Source organism: Homo sapiens, chromosome 20 (assembly GCF_000001405.40).
Source record: "Homo sapiens chromosome 20, GRCh38.p14 Primary Assembly".
Lineage (NCBI taxonomy): Eukaryota > Metazoa > Chordata > Mammalia > Primates > Hominidae > Homo > Homo sapiens.
Window position 1 is genome coordinate 17,832,367 of NC_000020.11, and position 27,471 is coordinate 17,859,837.

The window sequence follows — 27,471 nt, forward strand, 5'->3', positions numbered from 1 at the left end:
CTGAGCAACAGGGCGAGACCCTGTCTAGAAAAAAAAAAAAAAAAATTCCCGTTGCCTGGTGACGTCATAGCTGTCATCATGTCGTACAATGCATCACTTGTGTGTTTGTGGGGATGCTGGTGTAAACAAACCTACTGCACTGCTAGTCATATAAAAGTCTAGCACATATAAATACTGTATGTGCTGTGCATGATACTTGATAATGATTAATAAACTACTATGTTACTGGTTTATGTATTTGCTATAATTTTAATCATTATTTTAGAGCATGTACCTTCTACTAATTAAAAAAAAAAAAGTTAATTGTAAAACAGCCTCAGGCAGGTCCTTTGGGAGGTGTTCCAGAAGAAGGAAGGCATTGTTATCCTAGGAGATGACAGCTCCATGCATGTTACTGCGCTGGAAGCCCTTCCAGTGGGACAAGATGTGGAGGTGGAAGACAGTGATACTGACAACCCTGACCGTAGACCTAGGCTAATGTGTGCGTTTTTGTCTTTGTTTTTAACAAAAAAGTTCAAACAGTTAAAAAAATTAAAAACAGAAAAAACTCATAGAATAAGGATGTAAAGAAAGTACTTTTGTACAGCTGTACGAATGTGCTTGTGTTTTAAGGTAAGGGTTATTACAAAAGAGTCAAAAAGTTAAAACAAATTAAAAAGTTTATAAAATGAAAAAGTTACAGTAAGCTAAGGTTAATTTATTATTGACAAAAGAAAAACGTATTTTCTAAATTAGCCTCAGTGTACAGTGTTTCTGAAGTCTACAGTAGTGTACAGTAATGTCCGAGGCCTTCACATTCACTCACCACTCACTCACTGACTCACCCAGAGCAACTTCCAGTCCTGCAAGCTCCATTCATGGTAAGTGCTCCATAGAAGTGGACACTTTTTATCTTTTATACCATATTCTCACGGTACCTTTTCTCTGTGTAGATACAAAAACACTTACATTGTGTTACAACTGCTTGCAGTATTCAGGACAAAGACGTACTGTGCAAGTTTGTAACCTGGGAGCAACAGACTACACCACATAGCCTAGGTGTGTAGCAGGCTGTACAATCTAGGTTTGTGTAAGTCACTCTGTGACGTTCACACAACAAGGAAATTGCCTAATAATGCATTTCCCAGAACATAATCCCCCATTAAAGGGACACATGACTGTACATGCCAAGGAAACATTTACGGAGCATCCACTTCAAAATTTACATCAGTGGAGAAAAGCGATTATTCAAAAGATCCCAATTCAGCCAGGTGCAGTGGCTCACGCTTGTAATCCCAGCACTTTAGGAGGCCTAGGCAAGCGAATCACTTGAGGCCAAGAGTTCAAGAGCAGCCTGACCAACATGGTGAAATCCCATCTTTACTAAAAATACAAAAATTAGCCGGATGTGGTGGCACATGCCTGTAATCCCAGCTACTTGGGAGGGTGAGGCAGGAGAATCGCTTGAACCCGGGAGGTGGAGGTCACAGTGAGCTGAGATCACACCACTGCACTCCAGCCTGGGCAACAGAGTGAGACTCCATCTCAAAACAAACAAACAAATAAAAGATCCCAATTGAATGGGACAACCAAGTGGTCATCTGGGAAAAATTAAAGCTAAATCCCCACCTTATTCCTCACACCAACATAAATTCCAGATGGATCAGAAATTTAATCCCTCAAACTAAAACCATAAAAGCATTAAAAATAGAATACTTTTAAAAAAATAACCTCAGAGTGAGAAAGATCTTTCTTAACATAACACAAAATCTGGAACACATTTTAAAAAATAATAATAAATTTGATTATATAAAAAAATGTAATTCAAATGTCAAATAAAAGTCGAAGCACAACCAACAAAGCAAAAAAAGTGTTTACAACACATGCAGTTGGCAAAGGCTAATTTCCTTAATATATAAAGCACTTTTAGAATCAATAAGAAAGAAATGGCAAAGGATAGAGCAAAGCTCATAGAAATGGACCCACAACTGACCTTTTTTTTTTTTTTGAGACTGAGTCTCACTCTGTTGCCCAGGCTGGAGGGCAATGGTGCAATCTTGGCTCGCTGCAACCTCCGCCTCCTGGGCTCAAGCAATTCTCCTCCCTCAGCCTCCCGAGTAGCTGGAATTAGAGGTGCATGCCACCACACCCGGCTAATTTTTGTATTTTAGTAGAGACGGGTTTCATCATGTTGGCCAGGCTGGTCTCGAACTCTTGACCTCAGGTGATCTACCCACCTGGGCCTCTCAAAGTGCTGGGATTACAGGAGTGAGCCACCTTGCCCAGCCCCACAACTGACTTTTAAACATAGGAGAAGATGCTTGACCACACTAGTATTAAAAGCAAAAATTATAATTATGATTGTATACCAATTGCTTTTAGCTAACAGACTGGCAAAAAGTTTCATAGCACTGTGTGTTGATGAGAGTATAGAGAGACAGACATTCTCAAATATTATTACCGGGAGTAAAAAATCAGTAAGTACTATTACCCTAGAGGGCATTTTGACAATATTTATAAAAATTTAAAATGAACATATCTTTTGGCTAAGCAATCCCACTTCTGGGATTTATCCTGCAGACACATGGGCACACATGCCAAACAATCTAGTGACAAAGCTCTCTGAGATAGCAACATTGGAAGCAACCCAAGTGCTTGGCAATAGGAAATTGGCTAAATAAATGTACCATCCTGCAAGGGAATACTAGCAACCATTTTTTTTAAATGAAGCAGTACTTTATGTGCTGATATGAAATTATCTTCAAAATATATTAACATACATATATGCTCTTGCTTGCATAAAATGTCTCTGGAAAACGCACAGGGCACTGGTTGCCTCTGCAGGGGGGAAATGGAGGCAGGGAGAGAGGCCACTTATGTTCGTGTTTGATTGCATTAACATGCACATGTATTACCTATTTTTAAAAATAACATTTCTATAGTTATTACACTTGGGTAGGTCGGCTGTGGCTTCCCTAAGGATAAGGTTAGTTCCTCGATTCAGGAGCCAAATGCCAAAGGGACTCCAACAGTGATTCACGTTTGGAAACAGCCCGCGGGAATCTGTGCTGACTCATCGGAGGACCCAGTGGAACATGGCAGCTCCAAGGCAGAGCCAGCCTGAAACCCTGTGAACATGCTTTAGGACAACCAGACGGTCAGAGCGAGATGGGGTCAGGGTGGGGGACACCCTGAGCCAAGGAGCCAGTGACTTCCAGAAGAGTGAGGAGAAAATTCAAGGCTTTCCTCATGAAAGGGGGCAGAGCCGGGACAACATTCAAGGAGGCCAGGGGGATGTTGAGGGGGCCTGGCTGGAGGGCCTGGCAGGTGCATGGAGAGCCCCTTCCCAGACAAAGACCTGGGCCCAGTCCCTGAGAAGCACTGAGGCACCCACCAGGCTGGAAGCAGAGCCCTTCCCGCCCCCGCCCCGGCCACATCCACAGTTTGCTGGCATTTGCTGGCCTCCACCTCAGGCCCAGCTGAGTCAAGGAATTCCAAGGAACAGCCACCTCTTCCCATGCCCATCAAGGCGACCTTCCATGGTTTCCGTGGGACGTTTGGTCACACTGGGCTCAGAAATCTGCACTCTGTAAACTCACCGGTTTCTCCGTGACTGGGGTTTCCCTTTGTGCCTCAGTGTTCCTTTGGGAAATGTTCAACCTTTTTTTGGCCTAGTTAAGGAGAAAGGAATTTTTCCAGACTCAGTCAGAGATGTTGGCTCAGCTTGATTGGGAGGGAAGGGTGATTTTAATAAGGCCGGGGGTGGTAGTGGGGACAATGTGTGACCCCCCCGGGAAGTGGGACCGCACACGGTACCGGGGTGGGCAGTTCTGGCTCCTCCTGACCTGGCTGTCCCTCCCCAGTGCCATGAGTTTTGAGCCTGGTTGCCTTGGTGACCCGTTTTCAGTCCTTATTCACCTCCTAACCATCTCATGTTCTCTCGAGCCTCCTTCCATCCCCAGCACAGTCCACACACAATGTAAGTGCTCAAAAGTCGAACTGTAGCACTGAGTTGAGGGGTGGTCAGCCCCGGTGAGCCCTGGTGTCTCATCATGGTTTCCCCATGGCTGTCTCCACCCCTCTTCCAGAAAAGCTATTGAGAAATGGAACTCTTTGACATCACCCCTAGCTAAAGTTGCTGAAAACAGCTCAGAGGAGTGAATTCCACAGAGCCCTATGCCCCGCCTAGATTCCTGGGGCTTCTTGTCTCATGGAGTCTGCAGAGCCGCGTCCAGACCCCTCATCCTGGACCGCTACCCGGCATCGGCCTCCTCCACGTAGTCTTCTTGCTCCCACTGCAATCTGACTTTCTGCCAAACCATTTCCCTCCTGGCTTCAAACTTTTGTCGGGAAAGAGATGAAATCAGCACTTGGAGAGCTGGAAAGGGAAAAACAGCTGCTTTTCACAAAATGGGCTAGGGAGGGGGAAGCGGAGCAGCACAGCTGGATCTTGGTGGGAAAGCCAGAGTCTGGTGGGAACGTACAGCTCACAGCAGGAGAGACAAACACACAAACCTAGAGGGGCCCAGCGGCAGCAGCTCAGGGGCTTGCTTGCCAATGGCACCTTGTGCCGTATTCTTCAGATACAGTCACATCTCATATCCACATTAACCATCCTAGGGCTGTAGAGATTTTCTCCATTTTAGAGAGGTAGGCACAAAAAAAAAAAAAAGATTTCTCTTTCCCCTTAGTTCTCCTATAAGAATAATTATAGTGCGTGTGCTTGGGACAAATAGAGAGTGGTGGGGCCTGTGGCATCAAGGCCGCCAGGTAAAATTGCTCAGGTTGGGCGGACTCTGTGGCATCTTGCAACTGTGGCCGTGTGGCTATGTGGGCCTCTGATAACAACTATGATTTTTCAAGAGGAGCCAGGGATCTGGATTTTTATTTAAAAATTACCTGAGATTTAAACATTGGCAACTAATTCAGAAGCTTTACGGTATTGAGCAGTCAGTAGTACACTGTGGGCCAAGCAAAACATGTCTGTGGGTAGAGTTGGGGCTGAGGGCTGGAGTTTGAGTCCTCCTTTATGGGTGAGAACTGACACATGTACCCCAGCCAGGAGCAGGCATTGTCAGCACTCTACCCATCCCCCAAATCCCTTCCTCCCTTTTTTGTTTCCGTGACCCCTCCAGCTCCGAAGGGCTTTCACTTCCTGCAGTATGCACCTGACTTACCTCATGGTATAACCTGTTTCTTACCATTCCACTTTTCACCTGCCTTCCTCAATGATAACTCTAACATAATAGTACATAATAGTTGTTTTTTGTTTGGTTGGTTTTTTGTTTTTTTTGTTTTTTTTTTGAGACAGAGTCTCACTGTCGCCCAGCCTGGAGTGCAGTGGTACGATCTCAGCTTGCTGCAACCTCCACCTCCCGGGTTCAAGCAATTCTCCTGCCTCAGCCTCCCAAGTAACTGGGACTAAGGTGCCCACCACTACACCCAGCTAATTTTTTGTATTTTTAGTAGAAATGGGGTTTTGCCATGTTGGCCAGGCTAGTCTTGAACTCCTGATCTCAAGTGATTCGCCCGCCTTGGCCTCCCAAAGTGCTGAGATTACAGGTGTGAGCCACTGTGCCCGGCCTAACATAAGAGTATTTTAAAATATCAGTGGCTTATCAGGCACGATGCTAGGTGCTTGACATAAATATTGGTTTAAAATCAACACATCTAAGGGAGATCACATTAATGCTTCATTTACTAAATGTCTAATGGTTTTTGAGTTGTAAGGCAAGGTTTCAAAAGCCTAATCAATTTATATATATATAAAGTTAACATGTCCACATCCTTATGATGCAGGTAATGGGATTATTCACTTTTTTTTTTTTTTTTCAGACGGAGTCTGGCACTGTCACCCAGGCTGGAGGGCAATGGCGCGATCTCAGCTCACTGCAATCTCCGCCTCCCAGGTTCAAGCGATTCTCCTGCCTCAGCCTCCCAAATAGCTAGGATTATAGGTGCCCGTCACCATACCTGGCTAATTTTTTGTATTTTCAGTAGAGACTGGGTTTCACTATGTTGACCAGGCTGGTCTTGAACTCCTGATCTCGTGATCCACCTGCCTCAGCCTCCCAAAGTGCTGGGATTACAGGTGTGAGCCACTGCGCCCGGCCTATTCACATTTTATGTATAAGGAAAGTGAGGCCCAAAGACATCTGACCACAGCTTATAAGCAGCATTTCCTGGGGATCTTCTTCAGAGGGCTCCCTTCACCTTGCTTGGAGGGACAGAGAGCCCAAGGTGCCTAGAAATTTGCATTCTCCTCCCACACCTGCAATCCTTGTCCAATGACTAATGGGCACAAGAATTTGAAAGTCCAGCTCCCTTGCCTTGGGTTAAGATTAACTGAAGTGTCCCCTGCACTCAGAGCTCCCCCTCAGGATCAGGCTGAAAAGCCGTCATCTGTAGGATGTCGCCTGTGATCACCCCTGGCTTGGATTCCTCTCTACCCCAACCTGCTTCCTTCAGCCCCTTCCCAGTTTGCCCTGGGAGCACTTCCTTAATAAATCGCAGGCACACGAGACCTTGTCCCAGATCTGTTCTGGAAGAATCCACACTTAGGCACAGCCAAGGCTAATGGGCAACTCCTCTTACAGGAGAGAAAGAATCACCCTGCCAGGGGCTGGTACAATTGTTTGAGAGCCTCGGAGGACATAGGCTATAAAAGGACATTGCTTTCTCTGAGAACCAAGTAGCATGCTGGGGCCCCTCCTGCAGCCTCTCTGCTCTCCCACCCCACCCCTTCCTCCACACATCATCCCTCCATATAGATGTGTCATTGCTGCCAAGCATCCTTCCACCCTTCCCGCTGCCCTGGCAACCACGAAGATGGTGTGTGTCTGACCCTGCCCTAGCTCCAGAGTCCTGACTGGAGTAAGTCTTAGCTACCTTGTCATAGTGGTTGGTACAAATAACCCAGACTGAAGTCACTTCGCATATGAGATTCCCATGGAACACCACAGGGAGTGGCCCAGAGGCTGGGAACACAAATTCAATCTCGAGGGTGTACAGGCTTGGAACATGGGGAAATCCAGCAGAAAATCAAGTGGATCTACAGAAATGGGCAGACAAGAAAAGTGAAAGGAAAGGACACCAGAGCCCAAACCTGGCTTCTGTTGCTTGCCAACAAAAGCATTGTGACAATTCCCAGGACTCCCAGAGACCTGTTGTGTGTTTTGGAAATTCACAGAGCACCTAAGACTGAGCAGAAATACAGAGGAGGTAGACACTGGTCCAGTGTGGCTGGTAGATGCTGACGGTGGGAAGCACAGGATCTGCCCAGGGTGTTGGGTGCTTCTGCAGAAGGATCAGCCCTGCCATGAACATGAAAACCCCTTGCCTGATCCCTGCAGCTCCAGCCAGTCACTAAATGACAGCCATGTGACTACTGTGTGTGATGGGCTCACCAAGTGCATCCGATACAGCTTGTGAATTCAAGGACCTTGCAATCTAGTTAGAGGGACCACATTGGCTGCATAGGGTGGGGGTAAGGGCATGGTTTGGGGATCAGATGGACTTGGGTCTGGGTAGCACCAAATCTCTGTGGGCCTCAAGTTCCTTATACGCAAATGAGAGATAATACCATTATCTACACCATAAGGATGTGTTGACTTTTGAAAAATATATTTTTATAATTAATCAGGCTTTGAAACCTTGACTCACATATAATTCAAAATCATTAGACATTTTGTAAATGAAGCATTCATTTGATCTTTAGATGTGCTGACTTTTAAACAATATTTATGTCAAGTACCCAGCATCATGCCTGATGAGCAATTAATATTTTAAAATGTTGACTATTATATTAGAGTTATCATTAATGAAGGCAGGTGAAAAGTGAAATGGTAAGAAACAGCTTATGCTGTGCCCTAAGTGACAGACACAGACAAGGGGTGAGGTCTTTCTAGGAAAGTTTAGGAAAAGACAGGCTTGTGCCTCCTTTAAAAGACGGGGTGAGGGGGAACTAATGCTGTTACAAAGGTCTCTATCTCTGATCAGAGAAGTGCTGGGAGCCACATGAGGAAAGAGGGTTTGCATGGGCAGGATTCCATTACCAATTTGAGCTTCAATCCCAACATGGCTTTCATTCCAAGGTCTTTATCCAGAAGTCTGATTTGAGGGATAAGAATCAGGGAAATGTCTTGGCTCCCATGTTAGTGTATGTGATGAAAAGAGACAGCAACTGGCATTTACTGGACCTCTACGATGTACCAGGCCCTGTGTAGGTGTTTTTATAAATAGTGTATCTGTCAGCTATTCCCACAATAAAGCTGTGTAACAAAATTCACAGCATACAACATCTTCGGGTTACATGGAATTTGGCTGGCCTAAGCGGGGCTCAGCTGGGCCTGACTCCTGGCCATCGGATGGGTTCAATTCTGCTTAGTATGTTTCTTATACTTCTGGAACCAGCGCTACCTAAAAAATTATTTTCTACAATGATGGTAAAAAAGTGCAGGAGCCAGCTTAACAGCACAAGCCCACTCAAGCCTTCACTTACATCATGACTGTCAACATCCTTGACCATAGCAAGTCACATGGCTAAGACCAAAGCTAAGGGACATTAAGTATACTCTGCCACCTGAGGCCATAGCAAGAGTGTGGACATCTAATATTAATGCTACTACAGGGAAGTGAAAATAGGAAATTATTATTCTACCTTCTACAGAAGCTGTTTTATTCTATCCTCTTCAACAACCCCAACAGGCAGCCATTATTAACCCCAATTTAGAGATTTTAAAAACCGAGACTCGGAAAATGCCACAGTAATTTAGAATGTCTAAGCCACCAAACTAAGATTTGTGCCTTGTCTGCCTGGCTCCAAAAACTGGGGTCTTCTGCCATTCTGGGCAGCCTGTTAAGTTGAGAATTTGCATTTTAAACCATCCATCTGTGGGCAACAGTGACCTATCATAAACCACGGTCAAAATCAGAGAGAAGGATTTGAGTACAAGTAGGTGATTTGGGAGGTGATCTCAAGAAGCACCATAGAGAAATGTGGAAGAGAAACAGGGAAGAGAAGCCAAGAAAGGGGGCTTACTGGAGCCAGTTACTGCTGTGGGAGGATGGGCTACTGAGGACAGGGGTGACCAATAGAAGAGGGTCACATACTTCAGAGTTGTTGCAACCAACAGGCGGGGAGCTGGGGTCCTTGTCCATCAACTTCCAGGAGCCATTGAGAAGCACCACTCTGGTTCACTGGGTCTCAATCTAAAATCATCTGGGAGTTTGTTGTTGTTGTTGTTGAGACAGTGTCTCACTCTGTCACCCAGGCTGGAGTGCAGTGGTGTGATCTTGGCTCACTGCAACCTACCTCTGCCTCCCAGGTTCAAGCAATTCTCCTACCTCTGCCTCCAGAGTAGCTGGGATTACAGGCGTGTGCCACCACACTCGGTTAAATTTTGTACTTTTAGTAGAGATGGGGGTTCCCCATGTTGGCGAGGCTGATCTCGAACTCCTGACCTCAAGTGATCCACCCGCCTCGGCCTCCCAAAGTTCTGGGATTATGAGTCACCGCGCCTGGCCAAGTTTATTTTTTTTTTCCGTGATGGCTGGGTCTCAGCTCCAGTGATTTTGAGCTGATGAGGCTGTGTCAGCCTGAGCATGGGACTGGTGAAAGCTCCCCCAGTGACCTGTTGGACATGGTAGTTTGGGAAGCTCTGGTCTAGCTAGTTCCTCGGATCCCTCTGAGCCTACAAGTTCGAGGCCTCTTTGAACAAGCTCAGCTGAGGATGGAAACCCTGAGAAAGTGGCCCGTGCAGCTGGAGATAAATCATTTATTGGCCGGGGCTGCAGCTGGTGGCGGCTTGAGAAATGAGCTTTTTGGCCTTAACTCCACTGTTTGTGCTCCCGTGACCATAAGGGAACTGAACGCACAGACTTTCTTTTTAGAAAGAAAAAAAAAATGTCAAGCATATTTTCCAAGGTTTAATTTCCCTCCAATGTCCTGAAGAAACCTTTCGAAAAGCTTAGACTGCCTCAACCCCAGTATCTAGTAATAACATCAAACACTTTGAAATGGAGACCCAGTGTGACTTTGTTTAACTAAATAAAACCCAGGGAAGGAGAGAAATTAAAAAGAGCACGGGTTTAAGAGAAGTCAAATTTCCACCAAAAAGGTGGAAGAGGGAAGCTGGTTGGTGGAGTAGGATGGGAGGCAGATGCCGAATCCCAAGAGTTTAAAATTCAGGAAAAGAAGAGAAATGCACTGTCTTTGCCAGATTTAGCAAATAAAAATATGGGATGCCTAGTTCAATTTGAATTTCAGATAAACAATGAATTTTTTTTAGTGTGTGTCCTGTGCAATATTTGGGACATACTTATACTAAAAATATTATTCATTGCCCATCTGAAATTCAAATTGAACTGGGCATCCTGGATTTTATCTGGCAACCATAAAACATACAAAAATTGGTCTCAACTGGTCAGGACACCCTTAACCAGGTGTCTCTGAGTTAAATTGGGTGACTCTGTGCTAAACGAGATGTCTCTGGTCTTAACTGGGCATCCCTGGTCTTCTCCCATTTGTAACTGGAGTGGAAATACCCATAAAGGAAGATAAGGAAATAAATGGATGGAAAGGAGAGGAGACAGAGAAAAAGGGGGTCTTCATGGGAAGGGCAGGGGCACCAGCATCCCTCTGCCTGCTTTCTCCCACCCCTGAGCTCTCAGCACAGCCGAGGGACCTGAGGTCAGAGTCCCTGTCCAGAGTGAGAATTCGCCTTTCCCTCTGTGAGCTGAGGATTTGGAGGAAGGTCTGCAGAAATCGGGAGGGCCATCTGCCCCAGCCCTGGAGAAATGAGATGGGGTGCTGGAGGTTTAACCCCCAGGCACGGACTCGGGGCCACCCCTTCCCTATGGCCTGCCCTCCTTTGCCCAATCCTTTCTTCCCTGTGCTGCCTCCATCCGCCCTCTTCTCTTCTCCTACCTCCTCATCTCTTACCCTCCAAATAAGGAAGCCAGAGGCAGTGGTGTGGTCAGGGAGGATGCCTGCAGGTCTGATCCCTGCCCCCAGACAGAATCCAGTTGCCAATGAGGCAGCTGGGGAGGGTTTGGAGGAAGGGCTGTGGGTGCTGGGTGGTGCTGGGGATCCTGGCTCGCTGACCGCACAGGGCCCCACCGCTGGCTCCAGAGGACTCAGTGTAGCTGTCTCAGGCCTGCCAGGGCGCCTGCATTGGAGCCACATCAAGGTGAGAAGAGGGCCTGGCCTGCAAGGCAGCAAAGAACAGCTTTATTCCTTCACTGCCAGCGGCTCTGGGAGGTGGAAGATGACGTGGCCCAGTCATTCCACTCCCAGGAACTGACCCAAAGAAAATAATCCAGCCCAAGAAAGAGAGCTGTGCTCAGAAATATTCACAGCAACATAAGGGAAGTGGTTTCATAAACCTTGGCATGTCAGCACCGTGGAATGTTCCTTTATTTCACCCGACATTTAAGTGACCACTTGGTGACAGGCATCCTGCCAGCTACTGGGTACCCAAAGGAGGGTATAAGCCGATCCCTTTTCTCTGGGGTTCACAAGCAAAATGAGGGAGGTTGAGAATGCAGCCTCCAGAGTCAGGTAGCGATGGGTCTGTACACCTGTCTGTCCCCTCATCTGTAAAGTGGTGACACCCCATAGGAAGTGGTGAGGGCCAGTGGGGTGACACGCATCACACACACAGCACAGTGCCTGACATGCAGTGAGTGCTCAGCAGTTACCAACTACCCTCATGGCTCCTCCTACTCCTGCAGGGATGTGACAGGCATGGTGACGGGAGGATGTGTGAGCCGTTAAGAGTTCACAGAAGAGGGTGTGTAGGCACCACCACTGAAGTATGCGCAAGTGCTGAGAGCAGAAGGAATGATGGGGTTTAATTCTACTGGAGATGTCACCAAAGGTCACCATAGGCCTTAACTCAGCTGGGTCTTGAAGGATGTATAGAAGTTTGCTGGATGGACAAGAAATGAAAAGACATGCCAGGTAGAAGCAAACCTGTGGGCCCAGTGTGGGCAAATTCAACTCCACCAGACTCAGCTCTCCATCATGGTCCCCAGCCTTTTGGTGATGATCTCAATCTACTCAAGATGTTTTCAGGCCAACATTGAAAGGAAAGGTTCTGGGTCTCTTCCCTTTTCTTCCCATGATTCTCAGCCCCTGTGCAAATGTTCCCATCTTTCCCAGCAGTCTTTGCACTCTTCATATCAAGAGATATTAGAAAGACCAGAAGTGAGCCATTTCAATGTCCACTCGCACACAACCGGGTGAAAAGATCCCACGTTCTTGAAGGAAGGGTCTGTGGTGATAATATTGATTAATAACAGTCAACAAACACGACACCATACTTTTTTTTCTTTTCCTTTTTTTCTTTTTTGAGAACAGGGTCTCACTTCTTGCCCAGGCTGGAGTGCAATTGCGCAATCACAGCTCACCGCAGCCTCCAACTTCTAGGCTACAGCCATCTTCCCACCTCAGCCTCGGAAGTGGCTGGGATTACTGGGCTCTGCAGTAGGGCAGCCCTGGGTTTGAACCTAGATTCACTATTACTAGCTGGGTGACCTTGAGCAGGTCAAGCATGCACCACCACACCTGGCTAATTTTTTCTTTTCTTTCTTTTCTTTCTTTTCTTTCTTTCTTTCTTTTTCTTTCTTTCTTTCTCTTTCTTTCTTTCTTTCCTTTCTTTCTTTCTTTTCTTTCTTTTCTTTCCTTCCTTCCTTCCTTTCTTCCTTCTCTCTCTCTCTCTTTCTCTCTTTCTTTCTTTCTTTCTTTAGAGATGGGATCTTGCTATGTTGCCCAGGCTGGTCTCTAACTCCTGGGCTCAAGCAATCTTCCTGCTTCATTCTCCCAAAGTGTTAGGATTACAGGCATGAGCCCTCACACCTGACTGTTTACTCTCTATTGAGTACTTTACAAATACCATCTCTGTGAATTAGGTATTCTTATCCCCTGAGCTTAGATAATGCAGCTGAGTTGACGCGGCCTGCTGAAGGTCACCCAGCTACTAATAGTGAATCTAGGTTCAAACCCAGGGCTGCCAGAGCCCATTCCCTTACACTGGGTCATGTTACTAAAAATGCCAAAAGAGGCTGGGTGCAGTGGCTCACGCATGTAATCCCAGCACTTTGGGAGGCCAAGCCGGGTGGATCACAAGGTCAGGAGATCACGACAATCCTGGCCCACATGGTGAAACCCAGTCTGTACTAAAAATACAAAAAATTAGCCGGGCATGGTGGTGGGTGCCCATAGTCCCAACTACTCGGGAGGCTGAGGCAGGAGAATGGTGTGAACCTGGGAGGCGGAGCTTGCAGTGAGCCAAGATCATGCCATTGCACTCCAGCCTGGGTGACAGAGTGAGACTCCGTCTCAAACAAAAAACAAAAAACAAACAAACAAATACAAAAATTAGCTGGGTGTGGTGGCGCAGGCCTGTAGTCCCAGCTACTCAGGAGGCTGAGGCAGAAGAATTGCTTGAATCCAGGAGATGGAGATTGTAGTGAGCCAAAATCGCACCACTGCACTCCAGCCTGATGACAAAGCAAGACTCCATCTCAAAAAAAAAAAAAAAAAAAAAAATGCCGAAGAGCTAAGTCAGGGCTTTGATCAAGAAAGGCGAGAAGGCAGGGTTGAGCTCTTCGCTTGAGAGAAGGGGTTAGCTGGTGATGTTGTCATAAGCCCACGAGGGGCCACAGCTCTAGACCTGAGTGCTACACATTGACCCTCCTCTTGGCACCAGACACTGCCCTGCTTGTCATTTCTGTACGGATCAGGGTCCCAGCACAAAACCAAAACCATGCTAGATCTTCCAACCCAGGGAGTTTAATAGAGGGAACTTGTTTTGCAGCTTTGAATTGATGAACAGCCATATGAGGATGTCGAGGTCACCCAGAGGTTAGTAACAACAGGAAGCCACTGCTACCATCACTAGGGCTGGGACAGGAAAGGACAAAGGGACAAGGTGGGGTCATCAGAGTTGATGGTTCTGGGGCCTCTGGCAGGAGCTGGAGCCGCAGCAGAGAGGCAGCCACTGCCTGACACACCCCCAGAAGCAGAGCAGGGAGACACACCCTGAGCTCTCCCCGCCTCTGCCCTCCAGGCTTCTACTCACTTGTCCAAGCCTATCTGAAGCCAGAGGGCAGGGGCCCTGGAAGGGACCCTCTCCACACTGTAGAACAGAAAGCAGAAAGGAGAGAAAAGGGTCTGAGAGAAAACAGGAGGAGGCCAGACACAATGTCTACCCCAACAACTGCCCTTCAAGGTCATTGTTTTTACCCCATTGTAGAGATGAGGAAACTGAGGAAACACTCACATATCCACACCTGCACCTACACATGTACACATCACATACACATATGCACACATACAACCATTATGCACATCATACACACAGGCTCACTGCTTCACTTTGAAGAGGTTAAATGACTGAGCCAACCAAGATGAGACAACTTTTAGGTTGGTGGAGACCTAATTTAAACCCAGGTCACTATATCGGTTTTCACAGCTCAGGCCAAACTGGTCACCTCCAGGACTTTGTGAATCATGAAGAATCCAACAACAAAACAACAGCAACAACAGCAACAACATAACAATGTAAGAGACCTTGAAGTTCCAAAGGCTTAGCCCGTGTGGGGCCAAGGGTCAAGGGCCCTCGGATGATGATGGTGCTCGTGTTTCCCTCTCCTCCTCGGCTCCCTAAGTCCCAGCTGCAGAAGAACATTCTATTAAGCCACAGCCAGCACTCTGGTTTTGGGGACTAAAGGCAATTTTTATTTCCTTCTTTGTGCTCTTCTCTATTTTCCAGAAGGTTTTGTTGTTGTCGGTTTTGGGGGGTTTTTTGTTTGCTTGTTTTGAGACAGGGTCTGGCTCTGTCGCCCAGGCTGGAGTGCAGTGATGCGATCTTGGCTCACTGTAACCTCCGCTTCCGGGGCTCAAACCATCCTCCCACTTCAGCCTCCTGGGTAGCTGGGACTACAGGTGCATGCCATCCCACTAGCTAATTTTGTATTTTTTGTTTCGCCACATTGCCCAGGCTGGTCTCGAACTCCTGGACTCAAGCAATCCTCCTGCCTTGGCCTCCCAAAGTGCTGGGATTACAGGTGTGAGCCACTGCACCTGGCCTATTTTCCAGTTTTTTGTGAGGAGCATGCACTGCTTTGTTACTGGGAAGGACAGATCATCTTTAGGCAATATTACACGGTAGCAGGCCCCAGATGAAGGCTTAACAGAAAGAAAGTTGGGGCAAAAGAATGGTGGCAGGAAAGAGGACTGGCCAATACAGATGGCGTGTCACCGTCCTGCTCCCTCCTTCCCTGGAAGTGGACAAAACCAGGCACCATTCACATGCCATGGTCTGGGCTATTCTTAACATACCCTCACACATATGCACGCAAACCTCAGGTGCACAAATAGACACATGCACTTACACATATGGCACACATAAATATACACACACAAAGACACACACACACCCTCACAAGCACGCCTGCCCATGATGCATGTGCATACATACACTCACATATTTGCTCACACATTCACACACATATAAACACACCTCTCATGCACATACACACTCACATATTTGCTCACACATTCACACACATATAAACACACCTCTCATGCACATACACACTCACATATCCACACGTGCACCTACACATGTACACATCACATACATGTATGTACACGCACAACTATTATGCACATCGTACACACAGGCTCACTGCTTCACTTTGAAAATCGGATTTCCAAAACTTTCCTAGCACAACCATCTCACAAGGGTGTCTCTGGCCTCCTCCTCTGAGCAGCTCCCAATAACGCCTTCCAGGAGCAGGGGTGCCTTCTGTCTGGGCCCCAGAACATGCACTGCAGGTGTCGTCTCAGGGTGGGCTCCAAAGAGCATTTCCCTCTGTAACCACAGGCTGGGAGGCCCAGCCCATCCCCTTGAGCACTGGGCAACCCGTCGGCACCCAGGAGCTCAGCTCTCAGGAAGGCTTCCAGAAGCTCCCTTCAAAACCTCAGAAGCAGCTCCATACCCTCAGGAGAGGCTGCAGTTTGCAGAGTTCACACTTCCCTGGAGGAAGCCTATGAAGCCAGACCCACCTGGGCCCTCAGAAAGGCCCCTGGAGTCAGAATGCTTGGATCCAGTCCCTGCTCCTCTCTGAGCCTTGGTTTTCTCATCAGTAATGGAACAGACCTTTGAGCTCTCATCAAGAGCTTGTAGCTAATACTATAGACTGAGCCTCTCAACCTTCAAGGCAGCTGGAGAGGAGTTTAATTCAGTGGATAACATGCACCCAAAGTCCTTAGCCATCAGTGTTTATTGCTGGGGGTTCCACAGTCCCTGCTGATATAAATATATATGTAACTTGCTCCCCCCAGAGAGCCCAGATGGCTGGGAGGTGGAGGGGAACTGCACACACCTGTGCAGTCACCCTCACCACCCCTACAGGTTAGCCACAGCCCAGTGGTTTGGCAAAAACATCTGCCCCATGCTTCCTGGATAACATACTGAGCAGCAGAGACCCAGGATGGGAGGGGCAGCTGGGAGCTGAGGGCCTCCGGGATGGTCTCAAACAGGAAGGGATGGCAGGTGCTATGCCTGCAGGTGCGGGGACAGGGTCACATGAATCAGGTAGGCAAGGCATGGGCCTGTGACTTTTGAGGACCAAGGAGGGGGACATGCTCAGGATGGGCTGAAATGTCCCTCTGTCACCTTCCAAAGGGGGTGCCTAGCAGAGATCCAACTTAGGGTTTTTGCTTCTTTAGAGAAAGCCATTGTCAGCTACATCGCAGAATGGGTGGGAATAGGAAGTTAACTTGGAAAGACATGAATTGTCATTCCTTGGAAAAGGGGAATGAGCTTCCAATGGTCCAAGGAATCAGGAATGAGTCCACTGGGAAGCAGGGTAACTCTGGTGTCCCCAGAGAGCCAGGTCTGCAGTGACACCAGGAAGCCCTGCAATCGTGCTGGGCTTTGACCTGCTGGGTGAGGCCCCTGCCCCGGGCCTCAGGCCCTGCCGAACTCCATGCTGGCTCTTCTGGGCCATAGTCCTCCCCAGAGTAAGGAGTTGGTGAGGCCAAGGGGACATGCCCAGCTAGATGATCACACACATCCCCTTCTAGAAGGTACCCCTCGTCCTGAGGGTGGCCAAGGGGACGCTGTCTGCAAGAGAATGATGGAGTGTGGTTGGCCAGATGTGTGTGCCCAGGGCACCTCAGCATGAAGGGGACTGGGAGGTGGGAAGGGAAGGAGAGGGAAAAGGGAGGCCTCCTACCCAGGCTAAAGTCCCCACCCAGTGATTTCTGCTTAGACTGGCCACCCTTGTCATAAAGGAGGCCAGGAAAGGTGACTGTGCTATGCTTAATAATACAGACTCTGTAACTGGTAAGATCAGGAAAGACGATTGAGGGCAGGCAGCTGGCAGCCTTTCTGTGCTTCACTTTTCTACTAAATGCAGCAGAGGGGAGAGGGTTGCCCCACCCCAGAGAGTCCCTACCACAGAGCAGACCCCCTTAGCACCCAGGATCACTCCAGGAGCTGAGGACTATATCCAGCACCCACACCTTAAACTTGACTAGATGCAATTACTCAACCATACACTCACATTTTCCTCAGCTGGCCACTGAGGTCAGAGCCAGCTAGACTGGACTTCCTGCTGCTGCCCTGGAGATCCCTGTTGGCACTGGAGACTCCTGGACACAGAACGTGTTATGAGTCAGAAGCAAATGTGGAATTCTCTACTTCCTGCCGTCACCCACACGTGGGGCGTATCCGCTACTGCTGTATAACAAATCATCCCAAGAATGTAGTAGTTAAAGATAACAACGGTTTACTTTTACTCACAAGTCTGTGGATGGTCTGAATGGTTCTTTGGATCTGGACTGGGCTCAGCTGGCCTCAAATGGGCCTCACCCCTGCATCTGGAGGGAGCTGCTGGCTCATCTGGGCACTAGCTGGTCCCGATGGTCTCAGCGGGAACGGCTCCTTCTGCTTTGCATTCTCGCCTCCTCTGGGAGGCTGGCCCAGGCATGTTCACAGCACAGGTTGGACGGGTTTCCAAGGGAGCAATGGAAGTGTGCTGGGCCTCTTGAGGCCTGGACTTGGTTGCACCACGTTCTATTGGCCAAGTCGCAAGACCAGCGTGGATTCAAGGGGTGGAGAAATAGACTCCATCTGTTGATGGGAGGAGCAGCAAAGGCACATCGTGAAGGGATATGATAGGGGAGGGAATAACTATGGCTATTTTTGCTTACAAACAGCTTACTACAGGAAGTGTGGCCATCTGCCCTCCAGCACAGAGTCAGCATGCAAGCTGCCCTGGAAAAATTCCTATGAAATTTTTTTTGCAAACTTGTGGCCATTTGGAGGTTACGTGGTGAGAACATTCAGATATACGTAGATATCTGACCATGGTAGCTGCAGCACTCAGGGCCCCACCAGAAAAATAGAGCCCCAGCCAAGTAGTTCAATAGTGAATTAATACTAGAAACTACAGCTTGACCTTTGAACAATGAGGAAGTTAGGGTCATCAACTCCTCACGTAATTGAAAATCCACATATAACTTTTGACTCCCCAAAAAGTTTAGTAATAGCCTACTGTTGACCGGAAGCCTTATTGATAACACAAACAGTTGATTAATGCATATTTTATATGTTATAAATATTATTACTGTATTCTTACAATAAAATAAGCTAGAGAAAAGAAAATGTTATTAAGAAAATCATATGAAGGAGAAAATAAATTTATTGCTCATTAAGTGGAAGTGGATCATCATAAAGGTCTTCGTCCTCATTGTCTCCATGCTGAGTGGGCTGAGGAGGAGGAGGAAGGGGAGGGATTGGTCCTGCTGTCTCAGCGTGGCAGAGGCAGAAGAGGATGAGAAGGTGGAAGGGCCAGCGGGAGAGGCAGGCACACTCGGTGTAACTTTATGGAAATATATCATCATTTTTGTTTGACTTTTTTCCTTTCTCATTTCTCTGAAAATGTTTCTGTACAGTACCAATTCTTCTTCCACCATTTGCTTTAGTTTCAGTGCCCAAACCATAGAAGGGTCCATGTGGTAAAAAAAGTCAAAACTGACTTTTTTTTTTTTTTTTGAGTTGGAGTCCTGCTGTCACCCAGGCTGGAGTGCAATGGCACGACGTTGGCTCACTGCAACCTCTGCCTCCCAGGTTCAAGCAATTCTCCTGTCTCAGCCTCACAAGTAGCTAGGACTACAGGCACACGTCACCACACCTGGCTAATTTTTGTACTTTTAGTAGAGATGGGGTTTCACCATACTGGTCAGGCTGGTCTCGAACTCCTGACCTCAGGTGATCCACCCGCCTCAGCCTCCCAAAGTGCTAGGATTACAGGTGTGAGCCACTGCACCTGGTCAACAATCTTAAGTCATTGGAACCCTTCTGCCAGATTGTCTAATGTCAGTCTCTTTTCTCACAGTGCGTCTTCTATGTTCTTTTTTTTTCCTGAGCCAGTCAAATTTAGCAGTGGGGGTTGTATACCAACTTCAGTGACACTAACGTTAATAAGTTCTGATAATCCACTACCATGTCTTGTTTCTCATTGTCCGGCTCTGGTTCAGAAGCATTTATCTCTATCAAGTTGTCTTCTGTTAATTCCTTTGTGTGGTGTCTGTTAGCTCTTGAATTTCTCCAAAATCCATATCTTGAAACCCTTCACTCCCCAACCTTGTTGCCATACTCACAATCTCTTTTCTTGATTGGCTGTGTCATAAATCCTGTGAAGTCATGCACACCTAGACACAGTTTTCTCTAGCAGGAATTTAATGTCTCAGACTTGATGGCTTTCACAGCTTTTTCTATAACAACAACGGCATCTTCGATGGTGTAATCCCACCAGACTTTCATGATATTTTCTCTATTGGGGTTCTCTCTCATAGCACTGACAATCCTTTCCATGGAATACTGTGTGTATTGAACTTTAAAGGTTCTTATGACCTGATCTAGAGGCTGAATTGGAGACATTGTGTTTGGGGGAAAGGAGACCACTTTGACACCTTCGCTGTTGAACTCATGGGGTTCTGGGTGGCGAGGGGCATGGTCCAGGGTCAAGAGAACTTTAACAGGCAGTCCCTACCTCACAAGGTACTTTCTGACTTCAGGAACAAAGCATCGAAGGAACCAGTATAGAAAAAGAGCTCTCCTTATCCAGGCCTTCTTGCACAACCAAAAGACTGGCAACTGGTGCTTATCTTTCCCCTTCAAGGATCAGGGTTTAGCAGCTTTATAGATAAGAGCAGTCCCAATCACAAACCTACTGCATTTGTACAACACAATAGAGTTAGCCCAACCCTTCTTGCCTTAAATCCTGGTGCTCACTTCTCTTCCTTACTAATAGATGTTCTTTGTCCATTTTTTTTTCCAGAATAGAGTACCTTCATCTGTATTTAAAAACCTGTTCAGGTAGACATCCTCTCTCCTCAATGATTTTCTTAAATCATTTCTTTTTTTCTTTTTTCTTTTTTTTTTTTTTTGAGATGGGATCTCGCTCTGTCACCCAGGCTAGAGTGCAATGGTGCGATCTCGGCTCACTGCAAGCTCCGCCTTCTGGGTTCAGCCATTCTCCTGCCTCAGCCTCCCAAGTAGGTGGGACTACAGGCACCCGCCACCGCGCCCGGGTAATTTTTTGTATTTTTAGTAGAGATGGGGTTTCACCGTGGTCTCGATCTCCTGACCTTGTGATCCGCCTGCCTCGGCCTCCCAATGTGCTGGGATTACAGGTGTGAGCCACTGCGCCCGGCCCTTAAATCATTTCTTAATGGCATCTGGGAACTCGTCTGCTGCCTCTTGGTCAGCAGGAGCTGCTTCTCCTGTTATCCTGACATTTTTTAAGCCAAACCTCTTTCTAAAATTATCAAACCATCCTTTGCTATCATTAAATGCTCCAGCTTTAGATCCTCCAACACCCTTTTGCTTTAAGTTGTCATAAAACGACTTTGCTTTTTCGTGAATCATATTAGAGTCTCTAGGTATGCAATCCTGCACCCACATGAAAGCTGCATTTTCAATATGAAAGGAATTTTGCAAAAAAAGTGCAAAGTTTTTGTGCCTGCTGGCCCAGAAATGGCTTCACGAATTTCCTTTTGTTTTTTGCAATGGTTGTTAGGCTGGTTCATTTGTTTTTGAAATAGCCGGCAACCTCAGCTGCAGACATCAATCTATGGTAAACATCAAGCAATTCAACTTTCTTGTAATGTCATGGCTTTCCTCTGCTTCTTGGGAGCACCCCCAGCACCACTAGTGGCACTTCATGTGGGTCTCATGGTGCTATTCAGGGTTTATGGTATGCACTGCACACAAAGAAAAATACACGAGAACCAGAAGAGATCACTTTTCACTGCAATATGCAGTGTATCATTAGAGACAAACTGCTCACAGGGAGATGATCAGCATCATATGGTGTTTAAGTGGATACTTGCAACAGGAGCTTGCCACAATAGCAACAAGAGGTGGCTATGAAATTATGACAGTAGTATGGTATCAGTACAGTGAATTCGATGCAGTTATGATTTAATACTGTATCTTCGTTTGTTTCCATTTATCTTGATTGAAAGGCACCATGTATGGTCTGTGTCCGTATGTGTAAGTTTTGATAAATTTTAACTTTTTAGAATAGATTTGTGTATATTTTATGGTAGTAAATGATAAAATAGACTCCTATCTACATATATTTTATGCATTCATGACATACCTAACTTTTCCTGAATTTTCTTGATATTTCTAGACCATGCTGCAAGCTTTTTTAAATTATCACAAATCTCCAAAAAATGTTTATTGAAAAAAATCCATGTAGAAGAGGACCTGTGCAGTTCAAACCCATGTTGTTCAAGGGTCACCTGTAGTTGCAAAGGTGATGGAAGAGCTGAAAACCTAAACGGGAGGGTAGAGCAACCCAGAAAGTAGAAACTGCTACTTCCCCAGGGCTAGAGGAACAAGGGAAGAGAGGGTATTATTAGGAGCCGAAGTTATGGAGGAGACTTGGCCACTGCTGGAGGCATCACCTGAAACAGAAAGGGCTGGAGAGAGAATATTCCTGGCTTCTCTCTTCTACCAAGCTCAATCTCCTGCCACTGCTTCCCATTGACTGAACTTGTCAGGAAGCCAGGGTGCAGGGGAGCCTGGGAAATGTAGTCCACAGAGGTCAGGGCCGTGCAACACAGCACAGCAGAGAAGGATGAGGGATGGATCTGAGGACAAACAGGAAAGTGACAGTCTCCACCGCCTGAGCTGTGTGATGGGGATGAGAAGGGCCCTGTGCCTACCTGAAGGCAGAAGATTGTCTCAGCTGACAGCTTTGCGTCTTTTCTGATTCCTACAGAAATGGAGAGCATGAGCAGCAAGGGAGAAGTCTTTGTCACCCTATCCCCAACAGGAGGGGACTGTGGGAGAATGATCTTAGGTGGGGAGATGACCTGTGGTCTGGGGAACCAGGATGGCTGGGTTCTTGAGAGGCCCTGCCAGCCAGAGCTGGAGATCAATCCCCGCATTAGCAAGAGCAAACATCCAGCACTGTGGGGAAGTCACTATAGTAGCTGCCATAGATGAAGCATCCACTGGTCCAGGAACTAACCTTCATGCTTTAGGTGGATTATTTCATGTAATCCTTTTTTATTTTATTTATTTATTTATTTATTTGAGATGGAGTCTCGCTGTTTCTCCCAGGCTGGAGTGCAGTGGCGCCATCTTGGCTCACTGCAAGCTCCTCCTCCCACGTTCACACCATTCTCCTGCCTCAGCCTGGCAAGTAGCTGGGACTACAGGCGCCCGCCACCATGCCCGGCTAATTTTTTGTATTTTTAGTAGAGACGGGGTTTCACCATGTTAGCCAGGATGGTCTCGATCTCCTGACCTCGTGATCCACCTGCCTTGGCCTCCCAAAGTGCTGGGATTACAGGTGTGAGCCACCATGCCTGGCCTCATGTAATCCTTTTGATAACCCTTTGAGATAAGCACCAAGGGTGTTCCATAAAACCTAAAAAAAATTATAGCCAAAAAAAAAAGATTGTTCCAGTACACATATAACTGAACAAAAAAGTCCTGAAACTGAAAAATGAAAAATCCCAGAAGGTCTGAGTGTAGTGTGGCTGCTTGAGGCCAAATTAGACCTTCTGGTCAACATGATTTCCTGTAAGTGAATAGATAAAAATAAGCTTCTGTATATGTTCTATGTATTGAATCATACAGTATCACTATATATGTTTTTTCATTCAATATTTCTTACAATCCAGCATTGTAAAAGTTTCACATGACATGACACTTTAGAGGAAGAAATGGAAAATCAGGCTGGATGTGGTGCCTCACACTTGTAATCCCAGCAATTTGGGAGGCCAAGGCCAGAGGATCTGTTGAGCCCAGGAGTTCAAGACCAGCCTGGGCAACATGGTGAAACCCCATTTCTACAAATAATAAAAAAAAATTATCCAAGCATGGTGGTGCATGCCTGTAGTCCCAACTACTCCAGAGGCTGAGGTGGGAGGGTCACTTGAGCCCAGGAAGTTGAGGATGTAATGAGCCGAGATCATGCCACTGCACTCCAGCCTGGGTGACAGAGTGAGACCCTGTTGAAAGAAAGAGAGAAAGAGAGAAAAGAAAGAAAGAAAAGAAAAAGAGAGAAAGAAAGAAAGAAAGAGAGAGAGAGGGAGACAGAGAGGGAGGGAGGGAGGGAGGGAGGGAGGGAGGGAGGGAGGGAGGGAGGGACAGAAAGAAATGGAAGATCAGAGAAGTGGAATAACCTCCTAGGATCACACAGCTTGTGAATGAGAGGCACTGAGTTGCTCAGTGATGGAGTGTCTAATGTTGGGTGTGTATGTACTGACTGTGTCCCAAGGCCAATTATAACTTGGGGAAGGCACCACTACCTCCCTGTCATACAATGGGTACATTGTCTGTCAATGGCACGTGGTTGTACACACCTCCAGGGGTAAACAATCAAAAGTCAGGAGCCTCTCCAGCTCTCCCTCATAAAAATACTGTATCCTCTAGGGAGTGGGGTTCTCTAGTCCAGCCCCATGTGATATGCAGTCCCAGTGGGGCCGGGAGATTTGCCCAAGGTCACACAGCTGGTTAGAGGGGAACCACACACCACCACGTCCTGCAGCTGCAAATCTGTTTCATGGCCTGCTTCCTCTCTTCTTCCCTAGAATGCCTTTTTTTTCTACCACAGAGTTTCTACAGTTCAAACCTGGAGGGCAGGTTGGGTTTTGTTTTGTTTTTCACACACTCCTTCACAGATTACAGGAGAGATTTTACTCTTGAACTGAAAGTAGAAAATTATTGTTAGCTTTAACACACAGCTCTTTCTCTCTTCCCCAACCCAGATACATTAGGATCCTCTTGTCCTATCAAAAAAAAAATAGTAATAATAATAATAATAATAATAATAATAATTCTATGGGGCAGAAAAGAGAAGAATTTGTGAGTTTCCCATTCCTGGCTGGACATTTCCCACAAATGGCAGTTAAGTCTTCATTGACTAATAGGAAAAGAGCAGCTCCAGCCGCATGACTTCACGGCACAGGCAAAGTCAAAGGCAAGGAGAGCTCACCTTAACTCTGGTGTATAGACACAGACTCCATGCCTCTTGTCCAACTCTTCCATCAGGGAGCCAGAACGTCCACATCTTCCAGGTTCCTGTAGGCTGTGTTTAGGGAGAGATGTAAGACTCTACTGGAACTTACGTGCTGGGAGGGCCAATGGTGCTGACACTTGGTCTTCTTGCTCTTGGCTGATGGATAGCAGGGAATATGAAGCTATCTATATCTCACTCAGATAGAGATGGACATTCCAGTCAAAAGCTAAGCTACTTCTGAATGCAAAGATGGTGTATCAGCTTTTGCTGCATAACAAACCACTCCAAAATGTAGTGGTTAAAATAACTATTGTTTATTTAGCTCATGAGTCCTCATATTAGCCATTTGGGTTGTGCTTAGCTGGGCTCATTCCTATGTCTTTGGTCAGCTGCTGGGTTTGCTGGGCCTGTCTGATCTGGGATGGCTCAGCTGAGACAGTATGCCTCTGCTCCACGTGGTCTCTCATCCTCAGCAGCATAGCCTGAGCTTTATGCACAGTAGCCTGGGCTTTATCCATGGTAACCAACAGGCTCCCAAGACAAGAGCAGCAGTACTCAGGGCCTCTTGAGGCCCAGGCTTGGAACTGTCATAAGGTGACTCCCAACATATTCCAATGGCTAAGTCAAGTCAAAAGGCCATCCCTGATTCAAGGACTGGAAATCAGCCCCAGAAGCTACAAAGTCACATTGGAAAGGGGCATAGATTTAGGGAGGGGGAAGGATTGTCACCATGTTTGCAAATGATCTTCCCCTATATCCATTTAAAATTCTTCTAGGAACAAAGTAGGGGTTTCAGGAAAAAAAAAAGTGTTGAATCAAATAATACACCCAAGTAAGAGTTTGTGGCACCAGCCTGTTGCACGCCTACTAAATGCAAGCCTTAAGCCTCTGCAGTGGGTAGACCCTAAGCAGTAGCAAGCTGGAGCCTGCTAGCACTGACTCATGAAAGCCAACTGTTAAATGCTCAGGAATTTTTTGAGCCAGTTGTTAAACCATCATAGCTTGAAACTGACCATGGTGGGAGCGTTTACACCATGGGAATTGGCTAGCACTACAAATCAGGGTGCTTTTTCTCCTGGAGAGCTGGTTTACCCACACACCATCCCCGTTAAGCTGAAGGAAATACTGTCTCTTCCAACTTGAGGAGTAAGACAGATACACAATGGAAGATTATCACATGCCAATCAGGCATGATGACTTCAATACAAGAAATAAACTGAGAGACTGGAGACAGCAGGGAAAGGAACTCATCATTTCTGATGTGTAGAAATTACATAAGGCATCATGGAGGAGGTGGTCTTTTCAGCTGGGCCTTGAAGGAAATACAGAGATAGCCACAGCCAGAGGGAAGGCTGCAGCCTGTGGAACAGCCAGGCACAGAAAGAGGTGCCTTTAGAGAGCAGGCAGCCAGCCTAGTGGAAGGGGCTTAGACTACAGGTGTTTTATTTAGTACCATTTTTGCTTCAAGTGACAGAAAATCCCAAACAACAATGACTTAAGCAAGTTGGTTTAATTCTCTCCCTGTAAGCGATTTTGGGAAATGATTGTGAATGATCAGTGCTCTGCAGGCACAGCGGCTCTGCCTCCGACCAGCCCTCACATCTCCTCTTGTCCCAGACTCTCCCAGAACAGGTGCATGGTCTTCTTGTCCTTCTCTCTCCTTCTTGGGTGCTGCAGGCCATCCGGCAGCCTGGGATCTGACATCCAGCTTCCCCACTCGCAGCTGTGTGAGCTCAGAAAGGTTGCCTAACATTTCTGAATCCTGGTTTCCAACTTGGTAAAATGGAGCAACGTAACTCACAGAGGGTTACAACAATGTGGGGTATAGTGTCTGTGCAGAACTTAGCATGGTGACCGACCCAGGGTGGGCACTCAGGGGAAGTAGGGTGTGTGTGTGTGCGTGCGTGCGTGCATGTGCGTGTGCGTGTGCGTGTGTGTGTGTGTGTGTGTGTGTGATGAAAGAGAGAGAGAGAGAGCCTCTCCAGGCCCTGGCCAGAGACCCCTTGGCCTCCTCCTGCCTGCTTGGAGAGGCAAGGTCTCTCTTTTTCCCAGGGTCGGGTGATGGAGCTGTTGGGGAGGGAGCCCTGGCAGCCTGGTCCTTGTGGAGTTTGGTTCTGCGTGGGCAGCTGTGTGAACCTTGACCGCTTCAGACCAGCTTCACTGGGGTAGCCACTTCAAAGGGCCCATGAGGATGCCTGCCCCAGTCCCCAGCCCATCCACCCTCACCCACAGCCCATGCCCCATGAGAGGGGACTGTGCCTGGAAAGGGCCTCTCTGGGAAATGATGTCTACCCCTCCAGGATCAAGGGGTAGGGCAGTCGGGTTGCAGCTGGGGAGGAGATGAAGGCAGGAAGTATGCTAGGTCAGTGACCCAGGCAAATATTTGGCAGATCAATGCTCAAGGTTGACCTCAAGTGTTTACCACTGGGTCACCAGGAAGTGGCTTCTTGCCACTTTCACCCACGCCTCCCCTCATGGCAGCCTTCAGGGATGAGGGCTTTTCTGGCTGTGGTCAGGGGCTCACCTGTCCACCTAGCCCCCTGGCCTAGAGCGCCCTGCCTTGCCCACCTAACTGGAGGTGGTCTTGGGACACATCATTTTTTCCTCAGAGTGAGTGGTCGTCAGAGGCCAGATCCCACCAGGACAGCCTCCTGCCCTGTGCTGAGTCCTCTCCTAGGGAAAGGCCAGCCCACTCGCTCTCCCCTAAACAACCGGGAGCACAGGTAACTCGCCTCTCTCCAACCGATGAGGACGTCCCGCGCCCAGGCTCCTGAGGGAGGGCGTGGGAGGAAGGTGCGAGCCAGACCCACATCCTCTCTGCTGCTGGAGGGGGCCCTTGCACCGGCTCAGAAAGGTGCGGAGCGTTGCCTGCAGCCGAGAGGGAAACAGCGCCTCTCCGAGCACTTTGTTCCACTTGCTGGAGGGCTA

The 27,471-nt window shown here is 47.4% G+C and overlaps 1 long non-coding RNA gene across 3 annotated transcripts in view, besides 4 other annotated features; it reads right to left on the reverse strand.

The window, feature by feature from the left end:
- Positions 1-18,024, reverse strand: part of LOC107985440 (uncharacterized) — a 36,616-nt gene extending 18,592 nt beyond the window's left edge. Inside the window, exon 1 of one of the 3 annotated variants that reach the window (XR_001754511.2) lies at positions 17,799-18,024. This is a non-coding gene — a long non-coding RNA (uncharacterized LOC107985440). Of the gene's footprint in view, positions 1-948; positions 1,028-17,798 lie in introns of those variants that run through there. The other 2 variants (XR_001754510.1, XR_001754509.1) reach the window with 2 other exon arrangements.
- Positions 2,784-3,361: an enhancer, noted in NCBI's record as "H3K27ac-H3K4me1 hESC enhancer chr20:17815795-17816372 (GRCh37/hg19 assembly coordinates)". NCBI's record gives its function as "activates a minimal SCP1, AML or CMV promoter by ChIP-STARR-seq in primed H9 embryonic stem cells {active_cell/tissue: H9 hESC(primed)}" and the evidence as "EXISTENCE:reporter gene assay evidence [ECO:0000049][PMID:30033119]".
- Positions 16,978-18,177: an enhancer, noted in NCBI's record as "P300/CBP strongly-dependent group 1 enhancer chr20:17829988-17831187 (GRCh37/hg19 assembly coordinates)". NCBI's record gives its function as "activates an origin of replication core promoter dependent on BRD2, BRD4, P300/CBP, MED14 and CDK7 cofactors, with strong dependence on P300/CBP, by STARR-seq in HCT116 cells {active_cell/tissue: HCT116}" and the evidence as "EXISTENCE:reporter gene assay evidence [ECO:0000049][PMID:35650434]".
- Positions 17,519-17,813: an enhancer, noted in NCBI's record as "tiled region #14281; HepG2 Activating non-DNase unmatched - State 5:Enh". NCBI's record gives its function as "activates a minimal TATA promoter and a strong SV40 promoter by Sharpr-MPRA in HepG2 cells {active_cell/tissue: HepG2}" and the evidence as "EXISTENCE:reporter gene assay evidence [ECO:0000049][PMID:27701403]".
- Positions 26,875-27,448: an enhancer, noted in NCBI's record as "H3K4me1 hESC enhancer chr20:17839885-17840458 (GRCh37/hg19 assembly coordinates)". NCBI's record gives its function as "activates a minimal SCP1, AML or CMV promoter by ChIP-STARR-seq in primed H9 embryonic stem cells {active_cell/tissue: H9 hESC(primed)}" and the evidence as "EXISTENCE:reporter gene assay evidence [ECO:0000049][PMID:30033119]".